The sequence below is a fragment of the Homo sapiens genome, chromosome 11, assembly GCF_000001405.40.
Source record: "Homo sapiens chromosome 11, GRCh38.p14 Primary Assembly".
In the NCBI taxonomy this organism is placed as follows: domain Eukaryota; kingdom Metazoa; phylum Chordata; class Mammalia; order Primates; family Hominidae; genus Homo; species Homo sapiens.
In genome coordinates, this window is record NC_000011.10 from 47,776,744 (window position 1) to 47,795,181 (window position 18,438).

The 18,438-nt window shown below is 41.9% G+C and overlaps 1 protein-coding gene across 2 annotated transcripts in view; it reads right to left on the minus strand.

The window, feature by feature from the left end:
* Positions 1 to 1,374: 1,374 nt before the first annotated feature.
* The window catches only part of NUP160 (nucleoporin 160), a 70,427-nt gene continuing 53,363 nt past the window's right edge, over positions 1,375 to 18,438 (minus strand). For both annotated transcript variants that reach the window (NR_134636.3, NM_015231.3), the window contains exons 28-36: positions 16,043 to 16,203; positions 15,187 to 15,247; positions 11,758 to 11,868; positions 11,439 to 11,562; positions 9,710 to 9,811; positions 8,179 to 8,320; positions 6,330 to 6,455; positions 3,600 to 3,704; positions 1,375 to 2,451 (exon numbers count right to left, since the gene is read on the minus strand). Coding sequence is in view for 1 of the 2 variants with exons in the window: in NM_015231.3 (NP_056046.2) it covers positions 2,362 to 2,451; positions 3,600 to 3,704; positions 6,330 to 6,455; positions 8,179 to 8,320; positions 9,710 to 9,811; positions 11,439 to 11,562; positions 11,758 to 11,868; positions 15,187 to 15,247; positions 16,043 to 16,203 (1,022 nt within the window). In the remaining variant the exon portion in view is untranslated. The remainder of the gene's footprint in view (positions 2,452 to 3,599; positions 3,705 to 6,329; positions 6,456 to 8,178; positions 8,321 to 9,709; positions 9,812 to 11,438; positions 11,563 to 11,757; positions 11,869 to 15,186; positions 15,248 to 16,042; positions 16,204 to 18,438) is intronic.

The window sequence follows — 18,438 nt, forward strand, 5'->3', positions numbered from 1 at the left end:
TTCTGCCTCAGCCTCCTGAGTAGCTGGGATTACAGGTGCACGCCATCACACCTGGCTAATTTTTGCATTTTTTTTTTTTTTAGTAAAGATGGGATTTCACCATGTTGGTCAAGCTAGTCTCAAACTCCTGACCTCGTGATCTGCCCGCCTCGGCCTCCCAAAGTGCTGGGATTACAGGCGTGAGCCACTGCGCCCGGCCATGAATTACTTTCTCTGTTGCAATTCCCCTATAATCCCAGCACTTTGGGAGACTGAGGTGGGCAGATCACGTGAGGTTGGGAGTTCAAGACCAGTCTGCCCAACATGGAAAAACCTTGTCTCTACTAAAAATACAAAATTAGCCGGGCGTGGTGGCGCATGCTTGTAATCCCAGCTCCTCGGGAGGCTGAGGCAGAGAATCACTTGAACCCGGGAGGCGGAAGGTGCAGTGAGTGGAGATCACGCCACTGCACTCCAGAATGGGTAACAAGAGTGAAACTCCGTCTGAAAAAAAAAAAAAAGCAGACTCAAAGCTGTGAGAAAAGTGACGTGGAAGTATGGGGGCATGCTCTGTTCTGGTCGGGACTCAAAATGAGGAGCGTAGAATACAATGGACAGAAGAGCTGGGCTGGGTTGAGCATGGGTTCTAGGCCTTGAACCTAAACAAGCACAGGAAAAGTTGGTCAGCATCTTGTGAACTGCCACCATGGAAACCACTGCATTGATCAGCAACACAAATGGGGGGAGTGGGGGTTTCTGGAATAGGGCTAGTCTCTCACTACTTCTTGCCCTCCAGAGATGGCTACAATAGGGTTTGGTCTCATTGTCGCCCAGGCTGGAGTGCAGTGGCATGCTCAAGGCTCACTGCAACCTCTACCTCCCAGATTCAAGCCATCTTTCCGCCTCAGCCCCTCTAGTAGCTGGGACTACAGGTACGCACCACTGCGACCAGCTAATTTTTTTTTTTTTTTGAAAGATGTGGTTTTGCCACGTTGGTCTTGAACTCCTGATCTCAAGTGATCCGCCTGCCTCAGCTTCCCAAAGTGCTGAGATTATAGGAGTTAGCCACCACGCCTGGCCCTTGATGTTTTCATACTATGGGTTATGATCCATTAGTCACTCATGAAAACATCAGGATACACTGTAGGTGAGGATACAAATTTTGTGAAACTTTTCTTTTGGTTATATATGTGTATGTAGGTCAAAATGTCTTTCTTACTGTCGTTGAAAGCCACAGGTTTAGAGAGCTGGGAGGACAGGGGCTCTCCCAGTCCCTAATTGCACCAAATGCCTCGTATTAATCATAGTAGAGCTAAAATGAAAAAAAAAAAAAAAAAAAAAAAAGAAACACACACCTCAGTATCTATCAACAACAGTACCACAGAGAAACTCACATTGTTAATTAAAGTATATAATGTAAATATGGTATTGAAAGTATAAAAATTAAAGGCTTCTGAAAAACTCAAGAAGGGTCAAAAGGCTATACAAGCAAGTAGTATACAGATTGTTTCCTTAAAAGATAAATTTTAATATACAGAATAAAATCCAAGATGATTTTATTATTTTTCACTTTCCCAAAACTTGTGAGCATGAATGCTTCTAAATCTGACCAATGAAGTTTACATTTTGGTCCAATACATTATGAGACTAACTTGTATGATCAAGTCCAGCTTGATTATCATAAATCATAGAAGTTAACAATTTACTCTGAGAATCTGTTGCTAATATAGATGATGGATTTCCAATTTTTTCTTAGCTAAGAATTTACTCAACTTTAGCTCAGAACCAGATTCAAAATATCTTCTTTAATTAGCTGGTCATCATTTTAGGCTTAATCTAGGCAAATTATTTAATACTCAATTGAAGATCATATAAAACCTCCAAAATAAATAAAAAGTACACAAAATTATTAGCTTTTGTGTACAATACAGAAAATACAGGTCAGTTCTGGACCAAAATAATTGCATTAAAATACAAAAGGTGATAGGGAAGAATTAAAAGATTTGCAGTGACTGCTTTTGGTGGTCAGCTACAACAAGCCAACAACCCTCAGCTATTTTGGAAAGTGAAGGTGAGTCTTAATTTGCAGATAATGAATGTCTTCGGTAGTTTAAAAAAATATAAACTCTAAAAAAGCTCGTGAATCATATACAAAAGCAGCTATTTGAGACCAAGGTTGAACACCAGAAATTGTGTTAGCACCACCAGCAAGCACAGGGTCCTCTGACTCTTCCGCCCTCCTATCTTGTGCAGAATGCAGACTTGAATGTTGTACACATCATTTACAGTTACAAAAATCGGCCTTGAGTACAGGGTTCCTGTAGGGTAGTCTTAAGTCCTAAGAGGCACCAAGCGGTTACAAAGGCTAGGTGACAATCCAAATCACAAGGTCCGACGATATAATAAATCCCGTGTTGCCTTATCAACTTTTTGCTGGTAGTCCTCCAATTTGTCAAGTATTTTCTGGGACAGCTATAAGAGAAAAGAAGGAAAACATTACATAACAGCTCAACAATGGAAAAATATTGAAGTTATTAATAACTTTGACTTCACCAAGTAGATTCCACCTTATAAAGATGTTAGCCACTCTGCTTCATAAAATCACCATTTGTTATAGGAGTCTCCTCTGTGACTCTACTGATAAAACTAGGCCTCTCTGTTATATACAACATTTCAGTCTCATTTTCTGAATGAATTTTCTAAGTATGGAAATCGTACCAGTATTTCTAATAAAAGGATCACTAACTCTTTTCTCAGAACCAGAAATGCTGCATCTGATATAACTAGTTATTAGCTGCCAAGTGAAATATAGAACTAATATTTTAGATAGGCTCAGGAGGCACTCTATCTCACTGGTAAACAAAATAAGCCATCACTATAATGACTCAAGGAAACACTATTGTTTTTTATGTTAAGGCAAGCAGGGTGAATATATGACTCCTGAGAAATGTTGTTATATATGCCAACTTCCCTCAGGACAGTGATAATTTATCACACTGTATTTCTTTCTTTTTCAGGGTGGGGGAATGGAGTCTCACTCTGCTGTCTAGGATGGAGTGCGGTGGTGCAATCTTGGCTCACTGGAACCTCCGCCTCCTGGGTTCAAGCGATTCTCCTGCCTCAGCCTCCCGAGTAGCTGGGATTACAGGTGCCCGCCACCATGCCTGGCTAGTTTTGGTATATTTAGTAGAGATGGAATTTCACCATGTTGGCAAAGCTGATCTCGAACTCCTGACCTCTCAGGTAATCTGCCCGTCTCAGCCTTCCAAAGTGCTGGGATTATAGGCGTGAGCCACTGCGCCCGGCCTATCATTGCTGTATTTCAAGTACCTGTTTACCTTGTAGGGTCTGCCCTACCAAATTAAAAGCTTTAAAGGATGGACCGACTGCTTGCCATTTGTCTCTGTATAATTAACACTTACACAGTTCCTCATTATGTTTTCTTGATCCTGTTACTTAGATCCTCTGCCTTATCTATAAAGGGACTGGGCAGTTTGTTAAGGGCCAAAAATAGGCTTTTGTCTTCCCTTTCTAATCCCGGAGAACTGAAGATCAAGCTGTAAGGTGTAACTGCTAGTGCAGGGGCTTACACAAGACGTCTCATGAAAGGGCTGACTTACTGCGATGTTGTGACTGTTGGCACTGTTCTCTCCCAGAGCTTGGAGAAGCTGATCAATAGAGGAGTATGGAAGCCACACCATTGGGGCTGTTGCGGACAGTGGAAACTAAAAGGAAAATGTTTATTTGAAAACAGTCTGCAAAGTGTACCATTTCTTCTGGGTAGTTGCTTTCATAGGACTCTGTAGAATAAAATACCCTTTTTTTTTTTTTTTTTGAGATGGTCTTGTTCTGTCGCCCAGGCTGAGTGCAGTGGCACAATCTCAGCTCACTGCAACCTCCGCCTCCTGGGCTCAAGCAATTCTTGTGCCTCAGCCTCTTGAGTAGCTGGACTACAGATGTGCACCACCATGCCTAGCTAATTTTTTTATGTTTATTTTTAGTAGAGATGGGGTTTCACCATGTTGGACAGGCTGGTCTCAAACTCCTGGCCTCAAGTGATCCACCTGCCTTGGCCTCCGAAAGTGAGCCACTGTGCCCGGCAAAATAAAATGCATTTTTTCCCCCAACCACAAGAAACTGTGTGTATACATGTGCATGCACACAATGGGAACCCTCTTTTCTCCAACTGGGAAACTTGTCATTTTTTTCGGTTAAATATATTTAAAAATTCATGTCGGCTGGGCCTGTAATTCCAACGTTTTGGGAGGCCGAGGTGGGCGGATCACAAGGTCAGGAGTTCGAGACCAGCCTGGCCAATATGGTGAAACCCCGTCTCTACTAAAAATACAAAAATTAGCCAGGTGTGGTGGCACAGATGTAGTCCCAGCTGCTCGGGAGGCTGAGGCTGAAGAATTGCTTGAACCCGGGAGGCGGAGGTTACAGTGAGCCGAGATCATGCCACTGCACTCAAGCCTGGGCGACAGAGCGAGACTCCGTCTTGGAAAAAATAAAAAAATAAAAATAAAAAATAATTTCATGTCAACTTTCTTTTTTTTTTCAGACAGGGTCTCACTCTGTCACTCAGGCTGGAGTGTAGTGGCATGATCATAGCTCACTGTACCCTCAACCTCCAGGGCTCATGTGATCCTCCCACCTCAGCTTCCCACATAGCTGGGACTATAGGCACGCACCACCATGACCAGCTAATTTTTTTCTATTTTTTGTAGATAAAGGTTCTCACTATGTTGCCAAGGCTGGTCTTAACCTCTGGGTTTAAACGATCCTCACACCTTGACCTCCGAAAGTGCTAGGATTACAGGTGTGAGCTATTGCACCTGGCTGATTTCATGAGGGTTGAAGCTGTAGTTAACTACACCTATTTAGACCTGGCTCTTCTATTATATTTGCCATCTGTATGAGCCTGTGATAACCTCTGAGCCTGTTCCCTCATGGGTTAAAAAATAGAAAATTAAAACATTCCTTCATAAGGCTGCTATAAGGATTAAATAAAAAAATGCTTGTAGAGACTTAACACAGTCCCGGCACACACACAATACCATTTTGTTTATCTCTCTCCACTGAATCCTAACTAATGCCATATTATTTTGATAGAGAAAGATGAAATTCCTATTTTATAAACAGGAGACTAGAGATTCCTAGAGTGTCAATATTTAGTTGTATAACTACAGATAGTAAAGGTTAAATACACTAACATATAGTTCAATTTACTCTCAGATTCTCACCTTACATAGCATGATAATAAAAAGAAATGCCTAGGCCGGGCATGGTGGCTCACATGGGTAATCCCAGCACTTTGGGAGGCCGAGGTGGGTGGATCACTTGAGGTTAGGAGTTCCGAGACCAGCCTGGCCAACATGGTGAAGCCCCATCTCTACCAAAAATATTAAAAAATTAGCTGGATGTGGTGGCAGGTGCCTGTAATCCCAGCTACTCAGGAGGCTGAGGCAGGAGAATCACTTGAACCCGGGAGGCGGAGGCTGCAGTGAGGGAGTAAGTGGAGGCTGCATCACTGCACTCCAGCTTGGGCAACAGAGCAAAACTCAGTTAAAAAAAAAAAAAAATATATATATATATATATATATATATATATATATATATATATATATATATATATGCGCCTATACCGATGTTCCTCAACTTATGGTGGGTTTGTTTTCCAATAAACCCACTATCAGTTGAAAATATCATAGGTTGAAAATACATATAATACATCTAACCTAATGAACATCACGGCTTAGCCTAGCCTACTTAACCATGCTCAGGACACTTAACGTTAACCTATAAAGTTGGGCAAAATCATCTAACAGAAAGCCTACTTTATAATACACTGTTGAATATCTTGTGTAATTTATTGAATACTGTACTGCAACTGAAAAACTGAACGGTTGTATGAGTATTTTATTTATTTATTATTTATTTATTTATTTATTTTTGAGATGGAGTCTCGCTCTGTTGCCCAGGCTGGAGTGCAGTGGCATGATCTCGGCTCACTGCAACCTCTGCCTCCCAGGTTCAAGCGATTCTCCTGCCTCAGCCTCCTGAGTAGCTGGGATTACAGGTACGTGCCACTGCATCTGGCTAATTTCTGTATTTTTAGTAGAGACGGGGCTTTGCCATGTTGGCCAAACTGGTTTCGAACTCCTGACCTCAGGTGATCTGTCTGCCTCGGCCTCCCAAAGTGCTGGGATTATAGGCATGAGTCACTGTGCCCGGCCATCAGTATTTTAAAGTATGGTTTCTCATAAATGTTCATCACTTTCAAACCACTGTAAAGTTGAAAAATCGTAAGTCAAACCATTGTAAATTGGGGACCATTTGTATATGCCTACCTCAATTCCGAAGTATTGATGTCCTTTTCCCAATACAGCATCCACATATTCTGACACCAAATCCACAGCTTCTTCTAAAAGGTCATAGTTTAAGTATAAACGAAGCAATTCAGCAGCATCAACCTTCTGTGAAAAGTCAGTGATTAAGAATATGTACCTATTTCCCTCCTACTTGAGTACTGACCAAAGAATGTTGAGTGGCTGATTCCCTAACATTTGTATTTCTCAATATAATTAAACCAGTGGCTTGGTTTACTCATCTGTATCTTAGGATAAGAGCTGATAACAAATCTGGGGAGTTAGGAAAAAAAAAAAGTTAAATCCCTAAGAGCCGTTACCTCTAGGCAGTTTGGGAGGCCCTTATCTGTTAAATAGCCTTCTTCCCCTGTTTTATGACCTAAGACATATTTTAACTTCTCTCCACTTCAGTTTCCACAGTTGTAAAGTCAACAAACTTTTCCTGAACACTAAAGTGACAATATATTCACATAATAAGAAATATATGAATGACAAATGCAAAAGAAGTTCAAAGAATCACCAGCTTTAAATCTGAAGTCTCTATTTGGAAGAGCTCTATTAATTAAGCATGCTTTCTATATTCCCATTTGATCACAATCTTACCTTTACCATCTTAGCTGGCTTCCCTACTTTCCTATTTATTTATTTTTTTTGAGACAGAGTCTTGCTCTGTCGCCCAGGCTTGGGGGCAGTGGTGCAACCTCAGATCACTGTAACCTCTGCCTCCAGAGTAGCTGAGATTACAGGCACGCACCATCACATCCAGATAATTTTTGTATTTTTAGTGGAGATGGGGTTTCACCATGTTGGCCAGGCTGGTCTCGAATTCCTGACCTCAGGTGATCTGCCTGCCTTGGCCTCCCAAAGCGCTGGGTTTACAGGCGTGAGTCACCGTGCCCGGCCTCCTTTCTACCTTAAAAAAAAAACAAAAACAAAAACAAAAAAAACAAAACAAAACAAAACAAAAAAAACCAAAAAAAACTTTCCTGATTTTAAGCTTTAGATTTTCTCTTTCCTTATCCTACTAACGGTGGTTCAGATGCAGAAGTTCTCAAACTTTAGCATGCATCAAAATCAAATTAGGAGCTTCTTAAAATGTAGATTTCTGGCTCCTAGCCTGAGATAATCTGATTCTGTAAGTCTAGGATGAGGAATCTGTATTTTGAAGAAGACTGCCATCTGAATAATTCTGATGCAGACAGTCTAAGAACCCGTTTTTGATTTTTAATAGGTGAAACAGTGGGAGTGGAGAAGGAACCAATCGGAAACTGGTTGTGCTCAATTAGTTGTAAACAACACGGCACTCAGACCAGCCATAGTGTTATATTATTTGAAAAGTACTCCACCGACTCCTGTGACTTTTTTGAGGTATGAAGAGTAAATCCTGTGTCATGCATATGCTCATTGTTCTAAATATAAACTCATTGTTCAGTGAATATAATAGGAGTCATTAACCTAATTACTAACCTATGAAACTTCAAATCTAAATACACAGTAGTACTGTGGAAATGAATTTGAATTGTTCTTATGGTTTTAGCTATGATGAAAAGCTTCCCAAAGTACGTAAGTCAATATGTTCCCATAAGTTATCACCCCATCTTTTTCTTTTTCTTTATATATTTTTAAATTTAAATAGAGATGGGGTCTCCCTGTGTTGCCCAAGCTGGTCTCAAACTCCTGGGCTCAAGCCATCCTCCCCTGTTGGCCTACCAATGTGCGGGCATGACAGGTATGAGCCACTGCAATCAGTCCATATTTTTAATCATCTCATGAAGTTATCCAGAATGATAAAGAGTGGGTTCTTACTCTGTACAAGTTATAATCCGTTTACCTTGTAACTGTTTATAAGCCAATTAGGCAGAGGCACTCCATGAGACAAGAGCTTGTTGATTACACAGTGGTGATACAAGTTATTCTGGACTTTGTACCTCTCCAGGTAAGTGGATAATAGTCGCCATGCTTCATCTGTAGCACTTGAAAAAAACAAAAATGACTAATGAGTTTCAGATTCTTAATAGCTATTTAGAGTACCATTCAAAGCATGTATTTACAAGGAAAACTTTTTTTTCAGACAGGGTCTTGCTCTGTCACCCAGGCTAGAGTGGAGTGGTGTGATCTCAGCTCACTGCAGCCTCAGCCCCAGATTCTCCCATTTCAGCTTCCTAAATAGCTGGGAATACAGGCATGCACCACTATGCCCAGCTAATTTTGTTTATGTTTTGTAGAGACAAGGACTTGCTATGTTGTCCACGCTGGTATTAAACTCCAGAGCTAAAGTGATCCTCTGACCTTGTCCTCCCTAAGTGTTGGGATTACAGGCAGGAGTCACCATGCCCAGCCTTACAAGGAAAACTTTAGAAATTAACAACTGAATCAATAATATAGCTAAATGGGAACAAATATTATTTGGGCTAATGTGACTTATGGGGATAGCACTAGAAACTAGATGTCTTGGGTTCGTATATTCCTCTCCCACTAACGTATTTAGTATTTAGTAAACAAACATATTTAGTAAATGAACGTTATTTGTTTGGCTATTAATGCATAATTCATTTAACTCCTTTGTTTCTGCATTTCTAAAACAAGAAACTGGTTCAGAACACTGGTTCTCAAACCTGATCAAGCATTAGAATCATGCAGAAGTTCTAACTTAGAAGACTAGGGTGATTTCTCATAATCTGTATTTTAATAAGTTATTCTGATGTGCTAATTTAGGGGTTGAAAACTAATGTCAGAGAACTTCCAAATTCTAAAGTGCTATCACTCTAAAGTGCTAAGCTGTATAATACCAAGTGCAAATGCAGTTCAGAAAGGGAAGTTTACTGAGGGTTAGGAATGTTAGAGAAGGTTTCTGAAGAAGCTGAAGTATATTTACGTGGACACAAAGTGGGTGCACTGGGGAAGTATACGAACCAGAGGAGATCTGAAGAAGGTATAGTGGATGATGGGGGCTGATGGGTGACAGACTGCTGAACAGCAGCTGGAGACAAGATATAAGAGGACACTGTGATGAAACCATGCAGTGACTGCTCAGTGGAAGAAATGGGGGAAAAAAGGAGGATAACACTCCGAAACAAGTAAATACAGATTTTTGCCTGTAAGAGTACCCTTTCCTGATATGAAACAGTAAGTCTTTGAGGAGGGGGATATGGAGAAGGAGACATTTCATAGGCAAAGACATCCTAGTTTGGACAATAAATGACATGATGTCACCTTAATTATAAACTTTCCAGCCCCTATAAAAACTTAGCCAAAAAGAAAGAAAAAAGTGAAATGATCTATGTAGGACAATTTAGTCAGAGAAAGACAGTTACAGCTTTTAGAAAGGCAAAACTACCCAGGGTTGAACACCAGGGTTGTACCTAGACTCCTTAGTAGTGATGACAGATGAGAGCTGATTGGCTGCTAGCCAGGCCCAGGCTTCTGCTTGTGCTGCCTCTCCTCCAAATTGCAATTTGATGCATCTGGAATGAAAATGGTTCCACACTTGAAAACTGAACGCTGAAACGTACCACTTTAATTTGATACTAAAACTAGAGAGATAGATGACAACTTCATCTCTAGTCTTTTGCTGAATTCACTACTGGAATATTGGCTCATCTCTTCCTCAAGTTACACAACTGGATACCTACAAGAACATGAGTAAGCATTAAGAGACAATTTACTTCCAAGATAAAATTAATGATGAAAAATTCTTTTTTCTTTTCTTTTTTTTTGAGATGGAGTCTTGCTCTGTCACCCAGGCTGCAGTGCAGTGGTGCAATCTCAGCTCACTGCAACCTCTGCCTCCCAGGTTCAAGTGATTCTCCTGTCTCAGCCTCCTGAGTAGCTGGGACTACAGGCCCATGCCACCATGCCTGGCTAATTTTTTGTATATTTAGTAGAGACGGGGTTTCACTGTGTTAGCCAGGATGGTCTTGATCTCCTGACCTCATGATCCGCCCGCCTAGGTCTCCCAAAGTCCTGGGATAACAGGTATGAGCCACCGCACCTGGCCTCTTTTTTTTTTTAAATTAAGATGGAGTCTCGCTCTGTTGCCCAGGCTGGAGTGCAGTGGCGCAATCTCAACTCATTGTAACCTCCGTCTCCCAGGCTCAAGCGATTCTCCTGCCTTAGCCACCCAAGTAGCTGGGATTACAGGCACACGCCACCTCTCCTGGCTAACTTTTGTATTTTTAGTAGAGATGGGGTTTCGTCATGTTGGCCGGGCAGGTCTTGAACTCCTGACCTCAAGTGATCTGCCCACCTTGGCCTCCCAACGTGATGGCATTACAGGCGTAAGCCACTGCACCTGGCTGAAAAATTCTGAAAGTTCAAAATTATTTCTAATTCACAAACTTTTTTTTTTTTTTTTTTTGAAACAGAGTCTTGCTTTGTTGCCCAGGCTCGAGTGCAGAGGCGCGATCTCAGCTCACTGCAACCTCTGCCTCCCAAGTTCAAGAGATTCTTGTGCCTAAGCCTCCTGAGAGGCTGAAATTACTGTTGTGTGCCACACCCTCATTTTTGTATTTTTAGTAGAGACAGGGTTTCACCATGTTGGCCAGGCTGGTCCCAAGCGATCCACCCGCCACAGCCTCCCAAAGTATTAGTAGGATTACAGATGTGAGCCACTGTGCCTGGCCAAGAAATTCTTCTTCTTTTTTTTGAGACAGAGTCTCGCTCTGTCGCCCAGGCTGGAGTGCAGTGGCGCGATCTCGGCTCATTGCAAGCTCTGCCTCCCAGGTTCACGCCATTCTCCTGCCTCAGCCTCCCGAGTAGCTGGGACTACAGGCGCCCGCCACCACGCCCGACTAATTTTTTTTGTATTATTTTTAGTAGAGACGGGGTTTCACCTTGTTAGCCAGGATGGTCTTGATCTCCTGGCCTCGTGATCCGCCCGCCTCGGCCTCCCAAAGTGCTGGGATTACAGGCGTGAGCCACTGCGCTCAGCCTGAAATTCTTTTTAAGAATGCTTGGATGGATTAAACAAAACACTTCTTCAAATCATAAATGATATATGGGCTACTTGGCTTATGACGACTGTTTCACACTGAGCAAGAGGATAATATATTTGCATTAGAAAAGACTATAAAAAAATAATTTTATACATACTTGAAGGCAAGCCCTTCAAAGACTGGCGTTAAGGGAAGCTTAAAAGTCTGACAGAGTGATATGGCAGTGTCAAAGAGGCCCGCCTGAACCAAGAGAGTGACCATTTCCTCTGCTGATGAACTTCCTGTGAAAATGGAAAAAGATTATTTCGTGTAGCCAAGGTATACACAAATGAAACCAAAGATTTTGTTTTGTTGATGAGTATCTCTGAGTAATAACCCAGGCTTTATACCCATCTACCATGCTACATACACTGCCTGGACCTAAAATGTGCTCGTGGTGCTGACAAGTCAGAGGCTTTAAACTCTTGAATTCCTACCAGCAACTGCAACCGCTGATGGATCATGCTGAGCCAAAGTGAGGCGGATGCGAGCCAAGGAACACTCTTTCTCCAGATCTTCCAGTTCCAGGATTTCAATTTGTCGATTTGCTATACATCAAAGAAAAATATTTTGAACTCCCAAAATACAAAGAAGTATCCATCAGATTAACGCAACCTGTCAATTTCCACTGAACATTAAGTAACATTCAATCTAATTTCCAAATGCATGAAGGAAGGAGAAAATAGGGCACTAAATAAATGCTAACTTAAACAAATTATGCAATATCCCATGTCAAATCAAAGTATTTTAACCGACTGCAGTTGAGGAGGTGCTTACAAGGTACTACATGTAATTTCATTTAACTCTTTAAACTTTTTTTTTTTTTTTTAAGGAAACAAATCTCAATCTGTCACCCAGGCTGGAGTGCAGTGGCATGATCTCGGCTCACTGCAACCTCCGCCTCTTGGGTTCATGTGATTCTCCTGCCTCAGCCTTCCGAGTAGCTGGGATTACAGGCGTGCACCACCATGCCCAGCTAATTTTTGTATTTTTAGTAGACACGGGGTTTTACCATGTTGGCCAGGCTGTTCTTAAACTCCTGACCTCAGGTGATCCAGCCACCTCAGCCTCCCAACGTGCTGGGATTACAGGCATCAGCCACTGTGCCCAGCCTAAAAAATTTTTTTTCTACAGGGTCTTGCTATGTTGCCCAGGCTGGTCTTGAACTCCTGAGCTCAAATGACCCTCCTGCCTTGGCCTCCCAAAATGCTGGGATTACAAGGCATGAGCCACTGCACCTGGCCTCATTTAACTATTATAATTGTGAAATACTGTCTGTCATCTCTATCAATAAGAAAGAAATATGACCAAACTGTGAGAGGCAGAAATAAAACCAGGTGTGTCCAAATCTAGAGCCTCGGCTCTTTATGGAAGGATATCATGCCTCTGTGGAAATAGCAAAAGAACTTGATAAAAAAAAAGCTTGGAACTAAGCTGATTTAAATACAACATTCAAGAAAAAAACCACATTCTTATTTAAGCATTTTCATTTCTCTTACTGTTGTACAACATTTTCGAAGTGCTACCAGACAACCTTTAGCAGATTAGAATGCTGAAAATAAACTAAAAAGAAGGAACTTTACAATATTTTTACAGCAATGTAATTATTATATATAATATATAGTATATAACGTTACTACTATGTATAGTATATAACAATGTAACTGTATATGTTACAATATAACTACTGTCTAAATTGCATGTATAGTTGACCCTTGAACAATGCAGGGTTTAGGGATGCTGGCTCCTGAGCAGTTGAAACTCTGCATATAACATTTCATTACCCAAAAACTTAGCTACTAATAGCCTACTACTGACCAGAAGCCTTACTGACAACCTAAACAGTCAATTCACACATATTTTGTATTTTATATACTGTACTTTTTTTTTTTTTTTTTTGAGACAGAGTTTCGCCCTTATTGCCCAGACTGGAGTGCAATGGCGCGATCTCGGCTCACTGCAACCTCTCCCTCCTGGGTACAAGTGATGTTTCTGCCTCAGCCTCCCAAGTAGCTAGGATTACAGGAATGCGCCACCACGCCCAGCTAATTTTTTATTTTTAGTAGAGACAGGGTTTCTCCATGTTGGTCAGGCTGGTCTCAAAACTCCCAACCTCAGGTGATCTGTCTGCCTTGGCCTCCCAATGTGCTGGGATTACAGGCGTGAGTCACTGTGCCTGGCCTATATACTGTACTCTTGGTTGTGGTTGTTTTGAGACGGAGTCTTGCTCTTGTTGCCCAGGCTGGAGTGCAGTGGCGCGATCTCAGCCCACTGCAACCTCAGCCTCCCGAGTTCAAGCAATTCTCCTGCCTCAGCCACCTGAGTAGCTGGGATTACAGCCACCCGCCACCACACCCAGCTGATTTTTTGTAGTTTTACTAGAGACGGGGTTTCATCATGTTGGCCAGGCTGGTCTTGAACTCCTGACCTGAGGTGATCCACCCGCCTCAGCCTCCCAAAGTACAGGGATTACAGGCATGAGCCACCGCACCTGGCCTATACTGTACTCTTAAAAGAAAATGTTATTAAGAAAATCATAGGGAAGGCAGGCACAGTGGCTCATCCCTGTAGTCCCAGCACTGTGGGAGTCCGAGGTAGGAGGATTGCTTGAGTCCAGGAGTTTGAGGCTGCAGTGAGCCATGATTGTGCCACTGCATTGCAGCCTAGGCAACACAGTGAGACCCTGTTTCAAAAACAAAAACAAACAGGTTTAGGCAAGTGTCCTTTCCCCTCAGTGATTTTCCTTAATGGTGTCTGGGAACTCTTCTGCTGCTCCTTGGTCAGCAGAAGCTGCTTCTCCTGTATCTTGACATTTTAAAAGCCATATCTCTTTCTTAAATTGTCAAACCATCCTTTGCTGGCATTAAATTCTCCAGCTTTAGATCTTTTACCTTCCTTTTGCTTTAAGTTGTTGTATAATAACCTTTGTTTTGCAAATCATGTTAGAGTCTATAGATATGCCTTTTTTTATAGCAATACTGTACCCACATAAAAGCTGGATTTTCAATATGAGATAAAAATATATTTTGCAAAAAGCACAAGGTTTTTGTACCTACTGGCGAAGCTGAAGCAACAGCTTCACAAATTTTCTCTTCTTTTTTTTTACAATGTTCCTTACACTGGATTCATTTTTCTTGAAATGGCAGGCAACCTCAGCTGCCGGCCTCAATCTACAGTAGACATCAAGCAGTTCAACTCTTTCTTGTCATGTTATGACTTTTTTCTGCTCTTTGGGAGCACTTCCAGCGTCACTAGTGACACTTCGTATGGGTCCCACTAAACATTATTTTTTTTGAGGCGGAGTCTTACTCTGTTGCCCAGGCTGGAGTGCAGTGGCACGATGTGTGCTCACGGCAACCTCTGCTTCCTGGATTCAAGCAATTCTCCTGCCTCAGCCTCCTGAGTAGCTGGGATTACAGGTGAGGGCCACTACTGCCCAGCTAATTTTTGTATTTTTAGTAGAGATGGGGTTTCGCCACACTGACCAGGCTGGTCTTGAACACCTGACCTCAGGTGATCCACCTGCCTCGGCCTCCCAAGGTGCTGGGATTACAGGTGTGAGCCACCACACCCGGCTTCCTTAACTTTTTCAATATTTCTAGGCTATGTGGTTCAACTGGGAGTTTTTTCAAATTGTGACAATCTCCAGAAAAAGAATCCAATATACTTATTGAAAACAAAAATCTGTGTATAATAGGTGCCTGCAGTTAAAACTTGTGTTTTACAAGGGCAACTGTTACTACTATAACATTTATATATTACTATTATATGTAGCTTATTTAACTACATATTTCTATCATAATACAACTAACAATAACAACATTACTACTGTCTAGCAAAGAACCAGTGTGAGACTCCTGACTCACTGGGGGCAGCTGTGCATTCTCCATCATGATTCCTCTTAGGGGATGCTCCAGGGCGATCATACTGATAAAACAAAACAAGCAATTTAACTGTGAAAATCAGTATTTTATTCTGATATCATTAACGGTGATTCATAGCTTTTATGCTTAAATTTTCTCAATGGAAATTATTTTTGTTTCGACCAGCAGAGCTCTTCTTACAGAGGTACTGTAACTATGAGACAAAGAAAGAAGTTCTTTGCCAAGTTGTTAACTTAACCATAACATATTACTGAGTCCAAGGACAGGGATTTGATCTCCATGTAAATCAACTAATTTTTCTCGGCTCCAGAGTTATATATAACAGAAACAGCTGCATGTATCTGACCCATCAGTATGATAGGAAAAACTCAAAGTGTGTGTCCTTTAAAACAGTAACTGTAGACTGCATTAACAAACACAATAGAAATAAAAGCAGCTACCATTTACTGAGCACAGTTTGTGGGCCAGGCACTGTTACTGTTCTAAGCAATCGACTTGAATTATCTCATTAATACCCAAACAATCCTATAAAGTAGATATTATCCGTATTTTATGCCAGAGAATGACAAAAGATTAAGTAACTTGTCTGAATTGGGTCAGGTCTAACTCCAAAACCACTCTGCAATATTTCTTCCTACAATAATTCTGAACTTGAAAACTAAAGGGGTAGTAATATACAACAATTGAATTGTAAACATAGATTTTTTTCACAAATATCTCAGTAGAAATTGTAAATCAAAAGAAGCAAAATGACACAATAGTTTTGAAAGGACCAAAACAAGTAGATTTACTTGTTCCAGGATGAACCCCCAAATTCCAGGATGAAATGTTTTCATACCACTGCACCAGACACTGGCTGCACAATCCACGCATATTCTGGACGAATAAGTCGTAAACAATTGAGAGCAGCCAGATAACAGTTGCCTTGTTTCTCAAGTCCCCGGAGAGTTCGAACTTCTCTGCCAAGCCGCATTCCATACTCAAACATCACTGTGCCAGCTATGAGGAGATAATAAATTAGACTTTAGAACTTCCAAATTTTTTTTTCTTTTTTTTGGAGACAGAGTCTTGCTCTGTCGCCCAGGCTGGAGTGCAATGGCTTGATCTCAGCTCACTGCAACCTCCGCCTCCCTGGTTCAAGCGATTCTCCTGCCTCAGCCTCCTGAGTAGCTGGGATTATAGGCACACGACCACCACGCCCGGCTAATTTTTGTATTTTTGGTAGAGAGTTTAGTAGAGAGTTTCACCATGTTGGTCTCGAATTTGTGGCCTCGTGATCCGCCCACCTCAGCCTCCCAAAGTGCTGGGATTACAGGTGTGAGCCACCACACCCAGCCTTCCAAAATTTGTTTCTCTAGAGATACGCAGGGAGAATGCTATCCCTAATCAAATGTTAAAATTTAAAACAAAATTGGGTTTGATGTAACCCCTGCCCCCCCTCCCCAAAATCACATGTTGGTGAGGATGTGGAAAAACTGGAACCCTTTTGTACTGTTGCTGGGAATGTCAAATGGTGCAGCTGCTATGGAAAACAGTATGGCAGTTCCTCAAAAAATTAAAAGTGAAATTATCATGTCATTCAGTAATTCCACTTTTGGGTATATACCCCAAAGAATGAAAAGAGGGGTCTCAAAGAGATATTTCTACACCCATGTTCATAGCAGCATTATCCACAATAGCCAAAGGTGAAAGCAATCCAAGTGTCCATTGATGGATGAACAAAATTTGACATATAAATACAACAGAAAATCATTTAATTATCTGTAAGATATCTGTTTTTTTTTTTTTTTTTTTTTTTTTTTTTTTTTTTGAGACGGAGTTTTGTTCTTGTTGCCAAAGGTGGCATGCAATGGTGCGGTCTCAGCTCATTGCAATCTCTGCTTCCTGGGTTCAAGCGATTCTCCTGCCTCAGCCCCACAAGTAGCCAGGATTACAGGCGCCCACCACCACACCTGGCTAATTTTTAAAGACATTTTTAAAGAAGAAAATTCTGACGCCACTACAAGGATGAACCTTGAAGACATTATGCTAGGTGAAATAAGACAGTCACAAAAAGACACATACTATATGATTCAAGCAGCCAAATTCATAGAGATGGGTGGTAAAATGGTGGTTGCCAGGGAATCGGGGTTGGGAGGAACAAGTAGTTGTTTAATGGGTATATAGCTTCAGTTTTGCAAGATGAAAAGTGTTCTGGAGATTGGTTACACAATATTGTGAATGCACTTAACACTCCCAAACTGTACACTTAAAAATGGTCAAGATAGCGGGCGCGGTGGCTCATGCCTGTGATTCCAGCACTCTGGGAGGCCAAGACGGGCGGATCATGAGGTCAGGAGATCGAGACCATCCTGGCCAACAGGGTGAAACCCCGTCTCTACTAAAAATACAAAAAAATAGCCAGGCATGGTGGCAGCCTCAGGAGGCTGAGGCAGGAGAATGGCGTGAACCCGGGAGGTGGAGTTTGCAGTGAGCCGAGATTGCGCCACTGCACTCCAGCCTGGGCGACAGAGCGAGACTCCGTCTCAAAAACAAAAACAGTTGGGCACAGTGGCTCACGCCTGTAATCCCAGCACTTTGGGAGGCAGAGGTGGGCAGATCACCCAAGTCCAGAAATTCAAGACCAGCCTGACCAACGTGGTGAAACGTCGTCTCTACTAAAAATACAAAAATTAGGGGCTGGGTGTGGTGACTCATGCCTGTAATCCCAGCACTTTGGGAAGCTGAGGCGGGTGGATCATTTTGAGGTCAGGAGTTCAAGACCAGCCTGACCAACACATGGTGAAACCCTCTCTCTACTAAAAATGCAAAAAAAATTGTCGAGCGTGGTGGTGCATGCCTGCAGTCCCAGCTACTCAGGAGTCTGAGGCAGGAGAATCGCTTGAACCTGGGAAGGCGGAGGTTGCAGTGAGCCGAGATTATGCCACTGAACTCCAGCCTAGACGACAGAGCGGGACTCTGTCTCGAAAACAAACAAACAAACAAAAACAAAACAAAACAAAAACTAGCTGGGCATGGTGGTAGGTGCCTGTAATCCCAGCTACTTGAGAGGCTGAGGCAGGAGAATTGCTTGAACCTGGAAGTGGAGGTTGCTGTGAGCCGAGATCGAGACACTGCACTCCAGGCTGATCGATAGAGTGAGACTGTCTCAAAAAAAAAAGAACATAGATTCTCATTTTTATAATACTTTAGTTGCACATATTCAATAAGATTCTGAAAAGTCCATTGTTCTGG